General features: G+C 39.6%; 1 protein-coding gene across 2 annotated transcripts in view; it reads left to right on the plus strand.

Moving 5' to 3' along the window:
- Window positions 1–21,711, plus strand: part of THBS4 (thrombospondin 4) — a 91,956-nt gene that overhangs the window by 370 nt on the left and 69,875 nt on the right. The window contains exon 2 of one of the 2 annotated variants that reach the window (NM_001306213.2): window positions 6,631–6,726. The gene's annotated coding sequence lies outside the window, so the exon portion shown is untranslated. The remainder of the gene's footprint in view (window positions 1–6,630; window positions 6,727–21,711) is intronic. The other variant, NM_001306212.2, reaches the window with a different exon arrangement.

Raw genomic sequence — 21,711 nt, forward strand, 5'->3', positions numbered from 1 at the left:
CTGGCACAACCCTGCTTAAAAGTTACAGTATTTCTGAACGTCAGGTAAATTGTGCCCACCTTCAGTGCTGGTCCTTCAATCTGGAATATCTTTCTTCCCTATGCAGCTGCTCCCTCAAAAATGAGCTTAACTCACCTTCCCTGTGATGTTTTTACAAAGTTAGGAGCTCTGGGTTCTTGTAGCCCCTTGTGCATATTTGAATTGTAGCTTCTCTCCCTAGCTACAGACCTTTTGCCTTTCACAGAAGAGGGCTAGCTTCATAGGTTTGGGACCTGTGCAGCCACACAAGGCTCTGTGCTTAAAAAGGCTCCTCATTTGGCTGATGCTCTTCCGTCACTGTCTTGAAATTCTTAAGTTTTGAACAAGGGGCTCTGCATTTTTATTTTGGACTGGGCCCCTCAAATCATGTAGCTCGTCATGTCTGTGGGCCTAATGAGCACAGACTAAATGTTTCTTGACGTTAAACCTGACAGTTTCTCAGAAAAACTATTAAAGAGGAAATTTTGGTCTTGGAAATGCTATGATCCAAACATATGACTGGGTCTCAGAGTTAGAACTTGGGTGCTGGGTCTTTTTTCTAGAAGGCACAGTAGTCTTTCTGGGACACCCTCGCAGTCATGCCTCTGAGTTCTTTCCTCTATTCCACTGAGATGGTCGGATCTTCTTAACTAAAACTCAAAAGAAACCTCTGCAACTTTTCGTAAAATTACTATTCAACAAATATTTGCTAGGCACTCCCTTACTGTTTACATAATCATTCAAATTACAGTGCCAGCCTGCTAAAGTCTTTTTTACATGTTTCAAAACCAAGAGTTCTAAGAAATGAAAAAGAGATATGTCAGAAATGAGAATTCATTAATAATAACTGTATAATTGGAAAATGCATAACATATGTACCATTAAAACTGTCGAAACATTTATTGAGCAGCTCCTATGTCTTAGACATCATAAGGTTCTGGAACAATACAGAAATATATAAAACATGAATTCTGTCCTCGGGAGTTTACAGTGCACAAAGGAGATATACACACACCAAGGTGTAACAAGTCAGATAATCACGAGTAGGGTTAGAAATATAAGCAAAATACTACAGAAACACAAAGGAGGGACAGTGCATCCTCTGTGTGATCAGTGGAGACTATCTGTTGAGTCTTCAGTATAAAGAAAGTAAAGTAATTCAACTTTCAGATTGTAATGGAACCTCCCTGTTTTGAGGGTTAGAAATGTCAAACCATAGACTGACAAAGGCAAGGCAGGGGGAAAGAAAATCCTAAGCCATAAAGCTGAGGGTCCATATACTACATTCAGGCATTTAAAACAATCATACAGAAAGAATGTGGATTTCCTGAGCCTTGTTTGTAGCAGGACTGAGAGGAGTGAATGAACATTCTTAGTGGACACATAACACAGTTACTCAGTTTGGCCTTCTTCCGTACTGCTGCTACTACATACAGTGATTTCATTTGCATTAAAGAGAAATTAAATCTCTTCCCTTAGTGTTGAATTGAGACAGAATAGCATGTCATTGCATCTGATGAAAGAATCCTTACACACAGGTTTATTAGTGCATAGATAATAGCAATCTTTTATTGCTGCAGTTCCTCTTGAGAGTCTGTATCTGTTAGATTGAATTTAAAAAACTCTAACATAGCTGATTGCACAAACAGGCTGAATACTGTTCCAGAGAACCACACAGAAAATTGAAGCCTTCAGAAATTATGCCTGGTATGGTTAGTTGGCTCCTGTGCCTTTTCCTGGCTGTTTTAGAGTATTGTTCAGAGTTCATCTAAATCATAACTTCAGATTCCTACCGGGAAGAATACTGTCTGCAAAACATCCATGTTTGTGTGGGATGGCCTGAATCACAGCTTTATAATGAGTATCCCAGACAGTGTTTTCCCCAAAAAAGAAATCTTATTTTTCAAAAGATGATCATTAAGAATGGTTTCATCTGGTGATAGTCATCTGAACTCAGGCAACCTGACCTTGGCATCCATACCCATCCTTCATGTGTTTCTTAACTTGGGAGCCACAGTGCAAGGTTTGTTAGGCTCTTTTTGTCTGGGTGATTAAGAATCTGGGAAATGGTGCTGTTGGGAAAGATGAAAGGTTTGTGACAAATGATGGTACAGTATATGGTCCCTTATGGGAAAATTAAATTGTAAAGTCTTAAATATCCCTTTGAACTTGAAGATTCTGTAATTTGTGTTCAGATATAAAATCCTTAAGGAGGGGAAAGAACAAACACTGAATAGAAAAAAGGAGAGCTGAGTTCTTGACTTGGCCTCTGATTAGCCATATGCGCTTGGGCCAATCATTTTACATTGATACCTCTGCTCATTCATTTATAAAGCAAAAGTTCTTTTATCTCTGAGATGCTATCATTTTATGTGTAATGAACATTTAATAATTTCTGACATTTATGGAGCAATTTCTACATGCCAGAAGTTGTTTCAAGTATCTAACATAACTTGCTTTATCTCCATAATGATTTCATGACACAGGTACCTTCCTAAGGTTAACTAACATCTTTGTGTCCCTCCTTGAAAATAGAAGAAAATATCAGTACCCATATAGCCAGTAGGTGGTAGAACCAAGATTTGAACCCAGGCAGTTTTGGCTTCAGAGTTTATACTCTTAACCACTGTGTCATACTGCCTCATGTAGCCTCCTGTGTAGTCCATTAAAAAGCCCAGTTTCACCCAAAGTGGAGATATCAATGCCATGATATTATTGTTATTATTTATGTAAATAATATTTGTTTAGTATTACACCATTAAACGAATTCATTAAGCAGCTTCTGTATGCCTAGCACACTGCAAGCCTGTCAGGGAATAAAAATTTATGTTCGCCTGTAATCCTAGCACTTTGGGAGGGAGGATCACTTGAACCCAGGAGTTCAAGACAAGCTTGGACAACATGATGAAACCTTGTCTCAACAGAAACACAAAAATTATAGCTGGGCATGATGGTGTGTGCCTATAGTCTCAGCTACTTGGGAGGCTGAGGCGGGAGGATGGCTTGAGCCCAGGAGGAGAAGATTGCAGTGAGCCGTGATTGTGCAAAAACTTATGTTCAAGCTTTTAGAGGCACAGTTGATGAAACAAGGCCCACATATTTGAACTAACTAGAGACTATTAGGAAGTACCATTTTGTCAAGAAGACAAGTCTAGTATGGTTTTAGACAAAGGCTTGAATGTACTGCAATGCTTGGCAAAGGCCTAATGAAAGAAGATGATAGCTGATCTCGAAGGGTGGGTACGTTGCATTTAGATTGGCACAGAGTAAGGCATTGCATATGGGCTGTGCTATATAAGTGAAGGCATAGAAACAGGACTGACTATGGCAAGGAATCTGAAGATGAGTAAACGAATGCTGGGTTTGGTTATAAGCTGGAGACTGCTCAGGGAGAGTATTGGTTGACTAACTTGAGAACCAGAATTGGAAGGCATGGGAATTTATAGTTTTGAGAAAGTAAAGACAAGTAAAAGTCCAAATACAATATTAGTGGATTTACATAGTCAAGGATGGGAGGTAGACAGCTATTGTTACATGGACATTATAAGAAGAAGCATTTTATAAACCCATAAACTATATTAAATAAAGTAAAAGTGTGGTGGAAAATGCTGCTGAATATTATTGGAGGAAGGTCACTTGGCACCCTTCCGCTGAGCATTTTTGATAGAGGAGGTTGTTAGAAATCCAGTGGCAAGGGATTACTGGAGAAAAGGGTATAAACGATAAGGACAGGTCTAAGAGCATGAGGAATATGACTGATAAAGGAAGAAGAGAAATGGGACAGGACTGAAAGACTCAAAGTTTTTGAAAGAGACGACATGGTGAATCTACACACATATGAGGACAAAATTGGCTATTATGAGTAAAAGTCTGAAGATGCTGGAGAGAAGAAGGATGGGATCCTAGAAATTGCCCTAAGAGTTGAGGCTGAGATCCGGAGCTTGAGCAGCGGGGCTGGCAGGCATTGAAAATGAGAGACATGCTCTCTTTCTGACACTGGAGGAAGTTTCAAGGGGAACTATGGGATGCTGAGTAGATAAATCAGTTACCTTCAAATTTCCCTATTACATTAGAAAAAAAATAAAAGTGCCTGAGAGAAAGAGATTGGGGCTTTAAAAAGACAGCTGGGCACAGTGGCTCACACCTGTAATCCCAGAATTTTGGGAGGCCAAGGCAGGCAGACCACTTGAGGATCACTTGAGGTCAGGAGTTCCAGACCAGCCTGGCCAACATGGTAAAACACAATCTCTACTAAAAAAAAAAAAAAATTAGCTGGATGTGGTGGCGCACACCTGTAATCCCAGCTACTCAGGAGGCTGAGGCAAGACAGTCGCTTGAACCCAGGTGGCAGAGGTTGCAGTGAGCTAAGATCGTACCACTGCACTCCAGCCTGGGCAACAGAGTGACTCTGTCACACATACACACAAAAAAAAAGGCGGAATAATTTAGAGACTATATCAGGGGTTAATAAAAAGTAAATGGGAGCATTGCTGACAGTCGTAAAGGTCAAATGTAAATTAGTATTAAGGCGATAAATCAAGGGAGAGCCATGGGCAGGCTAATGATTAGGTGCCTCTTTAAACAGATATTCTTTAAATATTCATTCAGTTTTTTTAAATGGAAATAAAGTTGGCCCCAGAATGTAACAAGATCAATTTATATTTTACCAATTATTTTAAAAGTTTTATTTGGAAATCCGGATTTTAGTACCACTTAAAAGTTGGTCCTGAGGATGATAGAAGAGGGATGGTACCCTAGGAGTTGCCCCAGGAATTGAAAGAAGATGAACTCTGTAGCTTCAGCATGATGGGGGCTCAGCCATCCTGACGTCTAGCTAAATTTGTACAGTTGTGTGGCTTCCTCTAAAGATACTTTGTTACCCAGAAGCATAAAAAGCCAAGTTCATGTATTTGGTAGCTATGTGAAGGTGATCAGGCAGTAATATATACTGATAGGGATTCATTTTGCTCCTCCAGCATAGTAAACCTGCTGTCTTTTGTATGAAAAAGAATTAAATGAAACCAAAATGAGAATATTATAATCTGACATTGTGCTGAATTTATGTTGAGGAAATAGGACAATTATACTTAAAAAATGAGGTTTGTAAAGGGTCCTAGGTGGAAATAAGGACCTTATAATGGAAGTAAATAATGGAAATAACGGAAGCCTTATTTCTATACTTCACTCAAAGTGGTAAAACCTAATATACCAATAGACTGTGATGTTAAATATGTATATTATAATACTGAGAGTAGCCACTAAGAGAACTATACAAGTGATATACTCAAAAATACTAAATAAATCAAAATAGTTTTTTTTTTTTTTTTTAAGTCCAAGTAACCCACAAGAAAGCAAGGGGCCAGCAGGGGAGTGATAGGTTGGAAGTGGGGAGGTAGTCAGAGAGATGAGAAGTTGAGAATAAACAGAAAACAGGTAACAAAATGGCAGGCTTAAATCCTAAAATACCAAGACTTATTCTAAATGTAAAGTTGATCTCAATACACCAATTAAAAGACAGAAATTGGCAGAGTGGATAAAAAACCTAAGCTAAATGTATGCTGTCCCTCAGAAACTTCCTTCAAACATGACATTGGTAGATGGAACCTAAAAGGATGGAAAAGTTATACCATGCAAACATTGATCAGGAAAAAAAAAGTAGTATGCGTGTATGTGTGTGTGTGTGTGTATATATGAAGGACATTACATAATGATAAATGGATCAGTCCACAAGACAACATATTAATCCCAAATGTGTGCACCAAACAACAGTGCTTCAAAATACATGAAGCAAAAACTGATAGAGGTGAAAGAAGAAATAGACAAATCCATAATTTTAACTATAACATAAGCTATAGTTATACCCGACACTCAGCAATTGATAGAACTACTGGACAAAAAATAAGCAAAGATATAGATGAATTAAACAACAGGATCTAATAGACATTTATGGAATGCCCCACCCAGTGACAGCAGAACATACATTATTTTTAAGAGCCTATATAACATTCACCAAAGTAGGCTATTATGAGTCATAAAGCAAACCTCAACAAAAGTTTTTAATGAAATAATGCAGAATATATTACTTGACTGTGCTGGAATTAAACTAGAAGTCAATAACAGAAAGATAACAGTAAAATCTCCAAAAACTTGGAAATTAACATACTTCTACGTAATCAGTGGGTCAGAGAGGAAGTGTCAACAGAAAAGAAATATATACAATTGATAATAAAAATACAACATTTCCTATTAAGAGAATGACAAGAAGCCACAGACTGGGAGAAAAAAATTTGCAAAACATATATCTGTTAAAGGACTTGGGTCCAAAACATACAAATAACTCTTAAAACTTACAACAAGAAAACAACCCAATCATACTGGATTAGGATAGACTGCAAATCCAGTGATTGGTAACTGATATGGTTTGGATTTGTGTCCCTGCCCAAATCACATGTCGAATTGTAATCCCCACTGTTGGAGGAGGGGCCTAATGGGAGGTGATTGGATCAAGGAGGGATTCCACCCTTACTGTTCTCATAATAATGAGTTCTCATGAGTCCTGGTTGTTTGAACATGTGTCGCATCTCCCCTTTCTCTCTCTTCCTCCTGCTCCAGCTGTGTGGGACGTGCCTGCTTTGCCTTCGCCTTCCACCATGATCGTAAGTTTTCTGAGACCCCCTCAGCCATGTTTCCTGTAGAGCCTGTGGAGTTGTGAGTCAATTAAACCTCTTTTCTTCATAAATTACCCAGTTTCAGGTATTCCTTTGTAGCAATGTGATAACAGCCTAATAAAGGTGACCTTATAAGGAAAAAGAGACATAGCAACACAGACGTAGACCCAGACCCAAAATTGGTGAAATCTGAATGAACTCTGTGGTTTGTACCAATGTCATTTTCATGATTTTAATATCGTACAATAGTTACAGTAGATGTTACAATTGGGGGAAACATCCCTGTACATTTATTTTACAACTTCCTGTGAGTCTATACTTAATTGAAATTAGATGTTTTTAAAAAGAATTAAAGGTAATGTAATGGCATGTGATGCAAAAAATGGGCACATGAAATATCCAGAGCATTCAACCAGATGGCAGCTAAAAATGTGGACCATCTGCCTTCATGGAACTTTGTATTTCGGACATCTTTTCATCAGCAAGACCATGCCATTTAAATGTTTTCCCAGAAGTGATGCTGAGCTATGTTCAGTGGCCACATGGCTCTCTAGAATCAGTAACAATGAATAAGGATGGACAGCCGGGAGTAAAGATGCTCTCCAGGAAATCATCTTAGGACTGGGTAACCCCACTACACCCCTGGGATTCAGTCAACCTTGGAAATCACTGGAATCCTTAATATAAACTACAAACAATCCAGCATTCTCTGTTTGGCTAAAGATACATTTCAAAGTTTTCTTTAAGAAAAAAAAGCAATATATTAAAACGCTTTGTTTGAATATATGTATATTTGCTGGATCAATAGTTCTTACAGCCATATTACTAAAATTAAGGGCTATGGCATAATAAGAATTACTATAATTCTAAACCCATTAACAGTTTATAGCTTATCCATTTCTTATACTATCCCTGTGAGGAATAATTATATCAAGCTTTATTTGTTTACACCAAACAGGAAAAAATAGATGTATTTATTCATATTTCCTCCATTGGATTAGCCAAGTCTACTAGGGAGCAAAAATAGTAAATTCACATGCCTCCTTTTTTTATGGTAGTAATTGAAAAAGTTATGGATATGATCCCATTTTCTGAAATGTTTAAAAATGAGTGTATAAAATGATCTTATTTTCAGAACTTAAGTCATTATGTGTATTGTTTATAGGGAGTTATATTACTTTTCCAGATTAATAGGCTGCCATCGATAATGAAGAACAAATAAATCCTGCCTTGTGAAATGCTGCCATTTTAAAATTTGCCTGAGGAAAGATTCATTATTGGAGGATTCTTTGCTTTATACATAAATCGCTTTAAACAGCAAAGTCTCCTAGCATTTAAAAATAGTCCATATATAAAAATTCTCTCAATCCACAATCATGTCAGTTGTGTAAAATGAGATATATCTGGTCTGATACCTCAGTTTATGGAAATTCCTCTTGAAATGTCAGTCATTACTCACATCAGTGCTTTAAATGCCATCTTAGCAAACTAAAAGAAATTAGCGTACATTTTGAGTAATGGAAGTGAGTTAGGAAGAGGAAAGAACAGGGTCCAATGAGTTTGAAATGGTGTTTACAGTTGGGTATTGTTCATAGCTTTTGGAACTGTCTTGCTTCCCCTATTCATCAAGGTGCTGAGGCAACAACATTAAAATCAACCCAAGAAGTATACTGAGTAGGTATATGGGAGAATGGCATATTAACTTCTTGATAAAATGTCTCAGTATGTAAATACTTATGAATTATTATTAATTTATATTACTGTACTTACACCATTTGATTACACCTGCATAAAGCTGCATACTCATTTTTACTTCAAATGCAGGAACTAACTCTTATATCCCCCACAGCATTTAGTTGGCACATAATAGATGCTTATAGTTGATGGACACAAAACATATTCAACTATTACAAGAACAGAACTTTTATTGCTTCTTCAGTTTCAAATGTCTCAAAGTTACCCTTTGCTTTTGACCACAAAGTCTACCCCTCCTTATGGTAGTTTCCTCAGGTGTCTGTGTCCTCTCTTTCCATTGCATTTTCTTCTCCCACATCTACCCAGTAACTGGAGTCTTCCTCCTTTTGCTGCCCCTTGACTACAAGGCATTTCCATCTTTTGGCTTCCTAATATGTCATGCCTTCTGTTATTGCCACCACAGCCTTCCATTTCCCAGCTCTCATTTCCATCCTAGGGATGGGACAGTAAGGCTGTCATGAATAAGCATAATTTATATGCCTTTTTCTCCATTTGTTGGTATGGATAATTAAGTGACCTTCAACTTTCATTCAAGGTTAATCATAGCGCTGAAAACCAAAAGGATAAGATGAGAGTGAGCAAATCAAGTCCAGAGAGGTGTATTTCCAGTGTGGAACAGTAACTCAGTGTAAATATCCAGGAGAGAGGCTTCCAAGAGAGCGTATGTGTGTGCACTGGTGAGGGGAGGAAGGGTTACGGGCGGGAATTGTGGTAGAAGCTTCCTGAGGCCAAAGAAAACATTCCCAGAGGGTCTCTATTTTAAAGAAAAGATTTTCTTTCTCTGATTTTTTTTATATGTAGATGTCTTCATTATATATTTGGACCTGTTTTTAAAACAGCTTAGTTTTAGATTTATTCTTCGAGATAACTTGTACCTATGGACATCACCAACAGCTTACAAAAATTAGACCAGTTGACTCTCAATAAGACTTCTCACCTGATCCATGAGCATCATCTCTTTATTTGGATTTCATAAGCCAGATGATATCTTAAAATTGGCAAATATAATTACAACTCCGTTGAACATATTTTTCTCCAGAAAATGTTTTGAGTACAAAAACGACATCTAGAGGTGACTGTCAATATATCTTTTCTTTGCACGTACTACATATTTGTTGCCGTGTTTTAGAAATATTTTAGAAGTTTGGGTAACAGAACCGGCAGTGGCATTTATTGAATTCTTCCTCACAATAACTGAAGGGATAGTATTATACTCGTTTTGCAGATATAACCCTTTCAATCCAACTAATATTTATTAAGTTTACTAAATGCTGGCACCAGTGATACCAAGATCAATCAGATGTAGCTCTTGTTACTGAATGGCGTACATGGAGGAGATAAACACAGTAACGTCCACTCTTGTGTGGTGAGTGCTGTTGGAGATTAATTAAGTGTTATGAGGTTATAGAAGAGGAATTATTCACCCATCTGCAGAGGGCTTGGGGATGAAACAGTGTCAGTGAAGCACTCCTGGAGGAGGTGTACCAGGGGAGGTGTTCCAGACAGAAAACAGCTGAAGTAAAAACATGGAATAGAGCAATAGTATATTGTGGTCTGAGAACTACGTATAATTCAACATTTCAGGAGGGTAAAGTGAGCGGTAGATAATGATGAGAAATAAGACTGCAGGCACAGTCAGAGGCCTATTTACCCACACAAAGGAATTTGGAGTTGGAGGCACCAAGGGTAAATATCTTGTTTCAAAAAGTGATTACATGAGGATTTTTGCCCAGTTCTGTTTGTCTCCAAAGCCATGATTTTTACATTAAACCATATTTACTTCATAGACATTCTTCAAATTAACCATTTACCAAAGATGTAAATAAGTTATAAGAAGAAAAACAATACTAATTTGGAAGATAATAAAAGCATTATTTGGAAAAAGCCAGTGTAGTATCTCTATTTTCAATTTGAACTTTGAGTCCAATGATTAGACATTTTCTAGTCCCATATTTTATACCATACCATGCAGTCTGCTTTTGTTAACTATCATTAATAGTGAAATGACAAACTGACCAGCATCTAATACTGGGGTTACACTGGTGGGTACCCTACAACAGGCGTTTTGTTCTTTGGTATCTAACCACTACCTTCAGTAGCTGCCTGACAAAGATGTGAATCTGAGGCCACACTACCTCAAGGGCACCTCTACCAAGACACATCTGCTGGGCCTAATGAAAACAGAGGTTTCTCCTAGCCCTAGCATTGGAGACTGACATACCCTCAATGGATGTCAGGGGAGACCCAGTCACTAAGGATGACTCTCCTGCCCCTAACCCATTAGCATGTCCCAAAAAGAAACAGGAGACCAAAGACCTTTGCCTTGTATAACAGTCATGCTGCCTCGGAAAAGCTGGGAAGTCCCCTCCCAGTGACCCCCATGCTCTATCCTAATGTGAACGATGTTCATGCTTTTTCATCAAATCTTTTAAATAGAAAGGGTGCAGAGAAAGTCAACTGTAATCACTTGGTGCAGAGTGCAGGGAGAGAGAGCATTTCATATTCAAGAAGAAATTGTCCAAGCAGTAAATGGCATTGTGGTGAGTCCTGTAATTGGAGATAGTAGAGAAACACTGGACAGCTGAGGAAACTCCAGAAGGGAGAAAAAAAAAAAAAAAAAGGAAAACCTAAGAACAAAATAAAAGAGTCTAAAATTTACACAGAATCAGAAAAAGACTTCTGAACAAAATAGCATTGATGGTGCTGGGAAACTTAATTAGTGCATACCCCTTACAGCAGGAGGTGGGTAGAGGAACTGTTATGTTAACGAAAGATCATTTGAAAAAAAAAAAAACAAAAACATGTTGTCTTTCTCTTTAAAATTTTAACTAAATTCCCTGATTCTTAACAGAACAGGGAATATACATTTTTCACTAAGGAACAAGTGTGTTTTCTTAAAATTCCATATTATGATCTGTTACAGGTGAGTGGGTGGCAAGTAGAATATTGTGGTTAACTCCTGGGATGGAGAAAGGGTAGGGGAATCGATATTATTAAGAGAGGGATATAGGAGAGGCTTCAGTAATTTGCAGTTTGAATACTGCAAACTTAAGTAGTAGGAACTAATGTTTCTGGAGTTATTCCTTATACCTTTATAAATGCCTAAATACTACAAACATTTCATAAACTTTTAAAAGTGAATTGGAGATTCGGGCAATATTTAGGGAAATGAGAGGGCGCAAGAAAGAGATCAGAGGGGCAGAGGATGAGAAGAAGAGGAGAAGTAAGTAGGGAGAGAGAGAAAAAGGGAAGGAATGGTTTTGAACCTAGTGAGCTTTTGGAAGGGTTAGGTTAGAGGTCACATCATGCTGTTTTCCTTATCAATTCTTACCCTGATTGAGTAGCTCTCTACCTGTTTCTCACCAAATGGTTCAAGCAGCTGCCATGGTATTCTCATCTCTACTTCCCAGCCACAAAACAGCTCCAGCCAACATAAAGCAGTTCTTCCAGTAGAAAAAAGAAAAAAAGAGCACCTGCAATTCCCTCAAGAAGAAAAGAACAAAAACAATGAGTATATATGTATGAATGAACCTAAAGCAGCTCTAAACTACTCCCCTTTGGGGACAGAAGCAGATGCCTTCGCCAAATTCAAAATGAAATCCCATATCTCTGAAGACCCCCTTCTTATGTTACTGTATAATTTACATGCAAGTTGTCTGCATAGTTAATCGTCCTCTATAGCATCTGGTATTTATCATCAAAAGCCGCTTGTTGAGAGGTTCTGGAGAAGCTCTTCATGTATCCCGGGTTTTAAACATTTTTCTACAAGTCTGTTTCTTTAAAATTAAAAGTGTAGCTGAGCACAGCGAGGATCTGGTAGTAAGTAGTAGGGAGGGTCATTCATACTTGGGATGTTGCTAATGTGACCTGCATGATTCAGGGCCAGAGAGGTGAATGAAGATAAAGGGAACTAAGCGTTACAGCCAAAAGGGTTCTGAAAATCTCCTAGTCAGATTCCTCAGTTTCCACATTTGACAGTAGCTTTCGCAGGGAACCCCATCCACCATGACTGAGCTGAAACTAGAAGCCAGGTTTTTCAGGTGTCATTCAGGGTTGATTTAGGGTTTTGGTTTTCTCCTGCAAAATGGAGAAAATGGGAAAATTTTAGATTATCCATGTTAGAAGGATGATGAATGTGTGTAAATGATATTGTTCAGATTCTGTGAGTGGGACCAGCACCACATTGGACTGGCCTAGGGAAGTCAGGATTCTGCCTTCTAGGTAGGTGCTCCCATCTGTTGGTGACCTGGAACATCTCTCTGTGTTCATTCTGGAGATGCAGATCTGGGTCCCGCAGACTCAGACCTTTGCAGGACACTAGGGTGGCCCCTTGTTGCTTCTCATCTGCTATAGTCTCCTGCCACTGTGGCCTACGGGTTTGATTTAGAAATTCAGGAAAGACTAGAAGCAAGCAAACAGATAAAAGGTTAGTGAAGTGTTTATCCACTAGAGCAAAGCCACAACTTTTCGTATTATTTAGCTCTTATTATTCTAAATTTTAAATTGTTTTTTATTGTTTCACTTACCATGTGTAACTTTCACTTTTCAATTACACATGGCAAGTGAAAGAATAAAAAACAATTTATTTATTTTTTATTTTTATTTTATTTTTTGAGACAGAGTCACGCTCTGTCACCCAGGGTGGAGTGCAGTGGCGTGATCTTGGCTCACTGCAACCTCCGCCTCCCGGGTTCAAGTGATTCTCCTGCCTCAGCCTCCTGAATAGCTGGGATTACAGGCACCCACCACCACACCCGGCTAATTTTTGTATTTTTAGTAGAGAGGGGGTTTCGCCATGTTACCCAGGCTGGTCTCAAACTTTTGACTTCAGGTGATCCACCCTCCTTGGCCTCCCAAAGTCTTGGGATTATAGGCATGAGCCACCACGCCCAGCCAAAAAAAACAAAACAAAACAAAAAACTAAAATTTAGAATAATAATAAGAGCTCAGAAAATGACAGTAATTAAACAAAGGTCACACGGAAAAGTTGCCCTTGATATATCTTGGGACAGGGTGGGTTTTCCTTATTGTTCTTAGCTCCTTTTGTTAATGTTTATTTTAGTGCCTTAATGCTACTAAACAGAAAATTCAGAAAACATTGTAGATGTCTTCCTTTTACGCTAATATTCTCCAGCTTTTCATACATTTGCAAAAAGAAATAGATTATGGATTTCTCAAGGTTTAGCCGCTTGTTATTTCCGTGTGTAATACAAATAAGCATAGTTAAAGGTTAATTTAATTAGCAAATTTGCAGTTATCTGAATTAAGTGTACTCCAAATTTAGTTTACAAGACCTGACAAGTTTGTGAATAAGTTAATTCACTTCTAATGTATTTTAATATACCCAAACCACAAAGCATCTTAAACTTTGTAAAAAGAGTGTGCACGGAGGAATGAGCACTAGATGTGAATTCTAGAGAACTGGGGTCCAGGCTCTGCTGTGTATTGGCCTGAGCAGTTCACTTAACTTCCCTGAGTCTTGGTGTCCTGTTTTGTATAAAGGGGAACCTGATCCCTCTTCTGCCTGGCTGGCAGAGCACTGTGAGACTCTGGAGAAATGACATATGTTAGAGATGTTTATAACCTGGAACACGGTACACGGTATGTTTTGTTTGTGGCATTTTTTTTTTTTTTTTTTTTTTGAGACGGAGTCTCACTCTGTCGCCCAGGCTGGAGTGCAGTGGCGCGATCTCGGCTCACTGCAACCTCTGCCTCTCAGGTTCAAGCAATTCTCCTGCCTCAGCCTCCCAAGCAGCTGGGACTACAGGTGTGCGCCATCATGCCCAGCTAATTTTTGTATCTTTAGTAGACATGGGGTTTCACCATGTTGGCCAGGATGGTCTCGATCTCTTGACCTCGTGATCCACTTTCCTCAGCCTCCCAAAGTACTGGGATTACAAACGTGAACCACCATGCCCGGCCTGTGGCATTGTTTTTAAACTAAAGCATGTATTATAGTTTTCCTGAAAAGTAAAGATTTCCAGAAAAGGAATTGGGAAACTCTTTTACCCTCATAGTTATAAAATATGGAGGTTTCCTTCCTCCAGGTTGGTCAGCTTCCCTCTTGATATGGTTTGGCTTTGTGTCCCCACCCAAATCTCATTTGAATTGTACTCCCATAATTCCCACATGTTGTGGGAGGGACCTGGTAGGAGAATCATGGGGGTGCTTTCCCCTGTACTGTTCTCATGGTAGTGAATAAGTTTCACAAGATCTGATAGTTTTATCAGGGATTTCCGCTTTTGTGTCGTCATTCTCTCTTTGCCTGCTGCCATCCATGTAAGAGGAGACTTGCTCCTTTTTGCCTTCTGCCATGATTGTGAGGCTTCCCCAGCCATGTGGAACTGTAAGTCCAATTAAACCTCTTTGTTTTGTAAATTGCCCATCAGCAGCGTGAAAATGGACTAATACACCTCTGCTCTAGTTCTTTTTGGAACTAGGCCTCTTCCCTTTGGTTGTCTTGCCACTCACTGTCAGATTGGACACTTCTCCACACTGGACCTCAACATCACCCTGCTGGCAGTCCCACAGGAGTTAAAATGTCTGAAGAGGGAATGGCCCAAAAAGGAGTCTCACTGCCATTGCAAGAGCTGGTTTAGAATAAAGGGGGCAGGGTGGATGATGAAGGATTACTTAATGGGTACAATGTATGTTATTTGAGTGATGGATACTCTAAAAGCCCTGACTTCCCCAATATGCAATCTATGCATGTAACAAAATTACACTTATACCCCATATATTTATACAAATAAAAAGGAATTTTAAAAAAGAATAAAGGGGTATGCTGTTCATTCATTTAATAAACATGTATTGAGCACCAACTATGTGCCAGGCACTCTTCTAGATGCCTGAGGTGCATAAATGAACAAAGTGGACAAAAATTCCTTCCCTTGTGGAGCTTACACTCAAGAATATGAGACCAAGGAGATACAGTCTCAGAAGGAGCAGAGACAAGGAAGAGTCAATGATGCCCAGTGAACAATGGGATAAAGCTTAGGAGTGTTCATCCTCATTCATAATTCCATAGCCCATAAACGTGCAGACCCAGACTTGACCATAATGTGACTAGATACTAACAGGGAGTAATTAAGTTTATTTTTTTCATATGAATTTCACAGACATATACAATAGCATGGTTAAAAGAACTAAATTAATTTTATGGTAGTAATTTTTTCCAACTCTGATATTTTGTGTCAGCTCCTACTTGTCCCAGCCATGCCTATCTGTGGTCTGCGGGCCTTCAAAGGGCAGCCTTTGTGTTGCCCAAAGCCAGCACAGTGGTGCTTTGTGCAGGGGCATCCCTGTGCCTCCTGGAATTCGTCTGCCCCATGAAGCTAGGTGGCTGGTGTTCGTGGCCAGTCCTCTAAGAAGCAGGTGTCCCCACTACCGTCCACCATGTGTGTCCTGTCTGCAGAACGTGGCTACTACTCAGATCCTGTTTCTCACTCAAGTTCTACCTCAAGGCTCGCACTCTGTCAAGTGATGTACTTCTTGGGGTCCATCTGCCTCGGGGGTGGAAATTGTGAATAGAACTGTAGCCCAGAGAATCATTGAGAGACTAGGTATAAGCCAGTGGCAGAACCTCAACCAAAATGCCGGGCTTGTGACCCCTAGCCCTGGGCTCGTGCACATAACACACAGTGCTCTGAAATATCATTGTTTGGGGCATTATTGTCACTTTTCTTCTACTGATGTGGATGGCATGTTGGATTTTATGAATATCAATTATTCAGATTCTTCTCAAATAGTAATTAGTTGGTTTTGAGAGTAATTAAGGCAATAGATGCTCCTACAAGAAAAGAGAATGAAAGACCCTGATTTGTGTATTTGGGGTAAGATCTTACAACAAACTGGGCCCAGGTCTGGAATAAATGTGGACAACTTCTAGCACAGCATAAAAGCATTAAAAAGTTTATTAACACATCATGTCGGTGTCAATGAAAATCAAATTGGTATAATTTTCAAAGAAGAAACTAATGATACTTTAAGGCTGTGTTTATAGTAATACTATCTTTCTGAAAGATACTTTGTTTATGTACTATATTAACATAGAAAAATAGTAAGCAGTTTCCAGCTACAATCAGTGGTTTAAATTAAGATGTAAATGTGGGTCTACCAGTGAGAAACTAAGGCAAATGTCTCCATCTAAGACAGAGTTGCCAGATAAAATATAAGATGATGCCCACTTAAATTTGAATTTCATATGAATAACAGGTAATTTTTTCTTATAAGTAAAAATTTCAAGCTTAACCGGGCTTCCCACATTATTGTTTTTTTTTAATTTTGTTTTGAGATGGAGTCTCACTCTGTCGCCCAGGCTGGAGTGCAGTGACACGATCTCGACTCACTGGCTTCCCACATTTTTATTTGTTAAGTATGGCAACTATAATCTAAAGGACAAAATTTGCTTCCAAACACTGCCCCTGAATAAGATCCAAAGTACATATGATAGCCAATTAATTTGGAAAATACCTCAATACAATTTCAAATCTCACAGAGGCAGGGTTTCTCAACATTGGCACTATTGATTTTGGGGCAGTTAATTCTTTGTTGTGAGGGGCTCTCGTACATTGTTCAATGCTTAACAGCACCCCTCGCCTCTACCACCAGATGCCAGTAGCATACCCTGGTTGTGACAACCAAAAATGTCTAGACATTGTCAGATGTCTGGTGGGGAGGGGGTCACAAAATCATCCCTGGGTGAGGACCCCTGTTCTGAGGGAAGAAGCTTATTTATAAGTACAGTATATGTATTAATATCTTAGTAGAAAACTAACTTGTCCTGATCTTGAAGAAAGAAGAGGAAAGCCATATTTTATGTAGCCTTTATTTTAAAATATCATGGGAGAAGCACCAATGGAAATGGCTGAGGAACTAGAGAGCTGGTAGACGTGGGATTATTTTGCAGTCTGAGGCTCTATGACAGAAGCTTCTGTTTGCTCCAGCAGCTTTGAGAGAAAAAGGCAGTAGAAAGTACTCATGACACGGCTCAGGTTCCCAATATAGACTTCATCCAAGGCTTTGAAAGAACAGTTAGTACAGAGTCTGCTGATTTCTGGAAAAGGAGTGTTTTATTTGGATAGCAATAACTGAAATTCCAACCTAGACCACCTAGCTGAATAATTATATGTGTGTGTCCAAAAAACAAATTGCCAAGAGATGCATTGAGAATCAGAATAGGAAAACTGTTTACTGTTTGATTTTTCAGAAAATAATTCAACAGGGAATTTTGCTAAAGTGTTGTTCCTTCTATTTTACCCAAGAAAACATATGAATTTATTTTGCTGTCTAAACCAAGAAACTAATGTGGTTATACATATTATGGGGAAGTTTTTAAGGAATTAACGTTTAGAGTCTTTGTGGCTCTAATTACTGCTCTTCGGTTGTGTAGTGAGAGTCACTAAGCATTCCTTCCTCCAAGGAATTTCCAGCATAATCCTGTTTTCCACTCAAATTCTTTGTGATTGCCAGATTGGAGTGAAAAATCAAATCTACTTCCAATGAAGAAAAACTCAAAAAAAAAACAGTGATTCAAACAAGTTTCCAAAGAGAATACATGAACTTCTTATTCTGCCTTTATTAATTGACATCTACAATTTTGTATTTTTCTCAGGATAATGCAAAAAAAATTCTTTTGAATCATTCTCACTAAATTTAGGGGCCAAGTGTCCTAGCTATATTGTTTTTTAAAAAAAGTTATGTTAAAGCAGCCAGACTTGGTGGCTCAAGCCTGTAATCCCAGCACTTTGGGAGGAGGAAGCAAGAGGATTGCTTGAAGCCAGGAGTTCAAGACCAGCCCAGGCAACATAGTGAGACCCTGTTTCTACCCACACCCTACCCCCTAAAAAAAATTAGCTGGATGTGCCTGTAGTCCCAGCTACTCAAGAGGCTGAAGCAGGAGGATTGCTTGAGCCCAGAAGTTGAAGGCTGCAATGAACCATGATTGGACCACTGCACTGACAAAGCAACTCAGTTCTGATCTACAGTTCATTCTTGGATAAACATAATACACAACACCTAGAAATACAGCAAAAACCCATTACCCTTAAGACAAAGTCCAGAATCCTTACTGCAGTCTACAAGGTCCTAAATTATCTGATTGGAGCAGACTACACTTTCCCCAACTCCAAGTTATATGCTAAGCTGCTCTAAGTTAGAGATCAAAAAAATAGAGTGGCTCAAATGAGATCAAAGTTGATAATTCTCTCACCTACCAGGGTAGAAGTATGCAGTGGTCAGTGGTTCAGAGTTTGTGGAAAGTTTGATCCATGAAGCCATCTAAATAAGGTACTTTGACCCAAGTACTTTCTATCTTGTTGCTTCCCACCCTTTAAGACATTCTCCTCATCCACATGGTCAAAGCTCACTCACCACTACCCTCACTCTGTCCCAATCTGTAGAAAGGTAGGCAGAGAGGCCAGCAAATAGCTTTCTTTTAAATTTGTGTTGCTGGGTGGGTCCCCCAGGAAACAGACTCTGAGATGGAGATTAGTGTACAGGAAGTTCACTATGGGGTGCTCCATGAATTATCACCCACTGGAGGAAAGGAAGGAAGCAGAACTGGGAAGATGGAAAAGTTAAGCTGCAGTACAGTCACAACAAGGTCTCATCCAAATTGATACGGGGCGTTGAAGCTGAGCTGGTCCTTCAGAGCTGGGATGAGACCAGATATTGGCTGCAAGCCATTCCAGGAAAGGGATGTGACCTTGAATGAGATGACTTTTCTTAGCTGAGGCAATTCTCAAAGGGAGCTGTCAGCCAGTAGCCTTGCAGTTGGACAGATGGCAGCACAGCAGAGCATCTGGGACAGGATGTGACCTGGAAATAGCATTGATATGGTTTGGCTGTGTCCCCACCCCAATCTCATCTTGAATTCCCATGTGTTGTGGGAGAAATCCAGTGGGAGGTAATTGAATCATGGGGGAAGGTCTTTCCCATGCTATTCTTGTGATAGTGAATAAGTCTCATGAGACCTGACAGTTTTAAAAGGGGGAATTTCCCTGCACACTTTCTCTCTTTGCCTGCTGCCATCCATGTAAGACGTGACTTGCTTCTCCTTGCCTTCTGCCAAGATTGTGAGGCTTCCCCAGCCACGTGGAACTGCAAGTCCATTAAACGTCTTTCTTTTGTAAATTACCCAGTCCCATGTATGTCTTTATCAGCAGCATGAGAACAGACTAATACAAGGGTAAACCACTTCCATTCACCCCTCATTATCTAGAATGTCTAGAACAGCCACCATAGTTGCCACGGAGGCTGGGAAATACAGTCTCTAGCTAGGAGGCCCTATGCCTAGCTAGCACTAAAAGGAAGAAGGGAGAAGGGATACTGGGGAGCAATCACAAGAGGGAAGGAAAATCATTCTTTGATTTGTTCAGCTTATTGACTGTTGTAGATCAAAAACCACTTCATTGAGGAAAGCAACCCACCAAACACAGAAGCAGAAAGAGAGCTAAAAATGGGATAAGAACAACTGAGAAACTGCTTATCCAGTAATATATTTTAAATAGTGAGGACTACACCAAACTTAGGTAGGCTTCAGAATGAGCCAGGGACAACTCCCCAGAACTCTGCAGGAAGGGGCTCCTGAGGACACACGTCCAACCTGCACCTGAAACCCCAAGTCACAAGGACAACTGATATTTAGATGCTTTTCTTCCTAAGACCTGCTACATATCAGAAAAAGTCACTTAAGGTAAAAGATAAAATATGCTGAGAAACGATTCTGTTTCTTAAAAAAAAAGAAAAAAAAGAAAGAAAGAAACCCAAACAGTAATTGTATTGACCCAAGAAAGCACTATTAAAATGTATCACTTTCTGTTAGTGTTGCTTGGATTTTCAACATAATAATGTTCTGTTTAAAAGAAGGAGACCAAAGTATGCTTATTACCTGAATGACAGAATATTCTGTGCACCAAACCCCCATGACATGCAATTTCCCTTTATATAACAAACCTCCATGTGTACCCCTGAACCTAAAATAAAAATTAATAAATAAATAAAATTTAAAAGTAAAAATAAAAATAAAGGAAGGAGACCAAGAAATACTTAAGGGCCCACTCCCCTTCTTTCTGAACAAAATAGCCAGACCAGCCTCTGCCACTGATTGAACCAGGGATTGGAAACTAACATAAAGCAGCCACCACCTCTAGGATGAGCATAAGATTATCAGTAGCCTGTGAGGAAACTTGGTAATAAAACTCTGACTGGTAGTGACACTGTATGAGGTAGTGTGGGCATCTAACCAACCAATGTGGTGGTCCTCTTGTGGACAGGAGAGGGTATGTGGTGTGTACAACAGGAAAAACACATTAAAACTCTAGAAACCCAAACAGAGGGAGTAGGAGGGGCCATAAAATGTCTGACTTCTCAAATGGCTGATGAGCTCCTAGAGGTGTCCTTGGTCTCTTCCCCAGAGGCAAATTTCAACTAGAGGTTGAAGCTAAGAAGCTTATCAAGACTCAGGGCTTCTCACTTTTCCCCTCACAGGCCCACTCCAAGGCTCTGATTTCCTGGGCTCTCTTTGCCTTGGCTTCCTGGCCATCAGTGTCCATCACTTGAGACAATCTGAGTGTCCCCACACCAAACACCTGAAATACACCTAATAAGAAAGCCTCATCCCATCTGCAAAGTATGCTGGAACTAAGATCCAGATTCACAACTCAGGAAATTTCACTCTACTTAAGTAGTGGCATTCTATCTTCAGATTAAAGTGTGTTTGAAAATCTCTACCCCTACTGACTGGGGCTGTCACACGAGGTCCCACTTGGCCCCGTCTTGGGACTCTCCTGCACAGCACTTGACTCTGCTAGACATCCTCTCTCCTCTCCCCTGTGCCCTCATCCCCATCATCTCCCAGAAACTCAGTGCTGGAACACATGAGACTTCTCAGCTGCATATCGGCAAGGCCAAGGGATCCTCAAAACAAGGCAAGTTTCTGCCCTCTCCCGCCATCAAAAGTGTGTAATTTCTTTGTTTTGTTTTTTGTTTTTTGTTTTGTTTTGTTTTGTTTTTTGACACAGAGTCTCGCTCTGTCACCCAGGCTGGAGTGCAATGGCGCAATCTTGGCTCACTGCAACCTCTGCCTCCTGTTTTCAAGTGATTCTCCTGCCTCAGCCTCCCAAGTAGCTGGGATTACAGGTGCCCACCACTACGCCTGCCTAATTTTTCTATTTTTAGTAGAAACAGGTTTCACCATGTTGGTCAGGCTGGTCTCGAACTCCCGACCTCAGGTGATCTGCCTACCTCAGCCTCCCAAAGTGCTGGGATT

Source organism: Homo sapiens, chromosome 5 (assembly GCF_000001405.40).
Source record: "Homo sapiens chromosome 5, GRCh38.p14 Primary Assembly".
Classification (NCBI taxonomy): domain Eukaryota; kingdom Metazoa; phylum Chordata; class Mammalia; order Primates; family Hominidae; genus Homo; species Homo sapiens.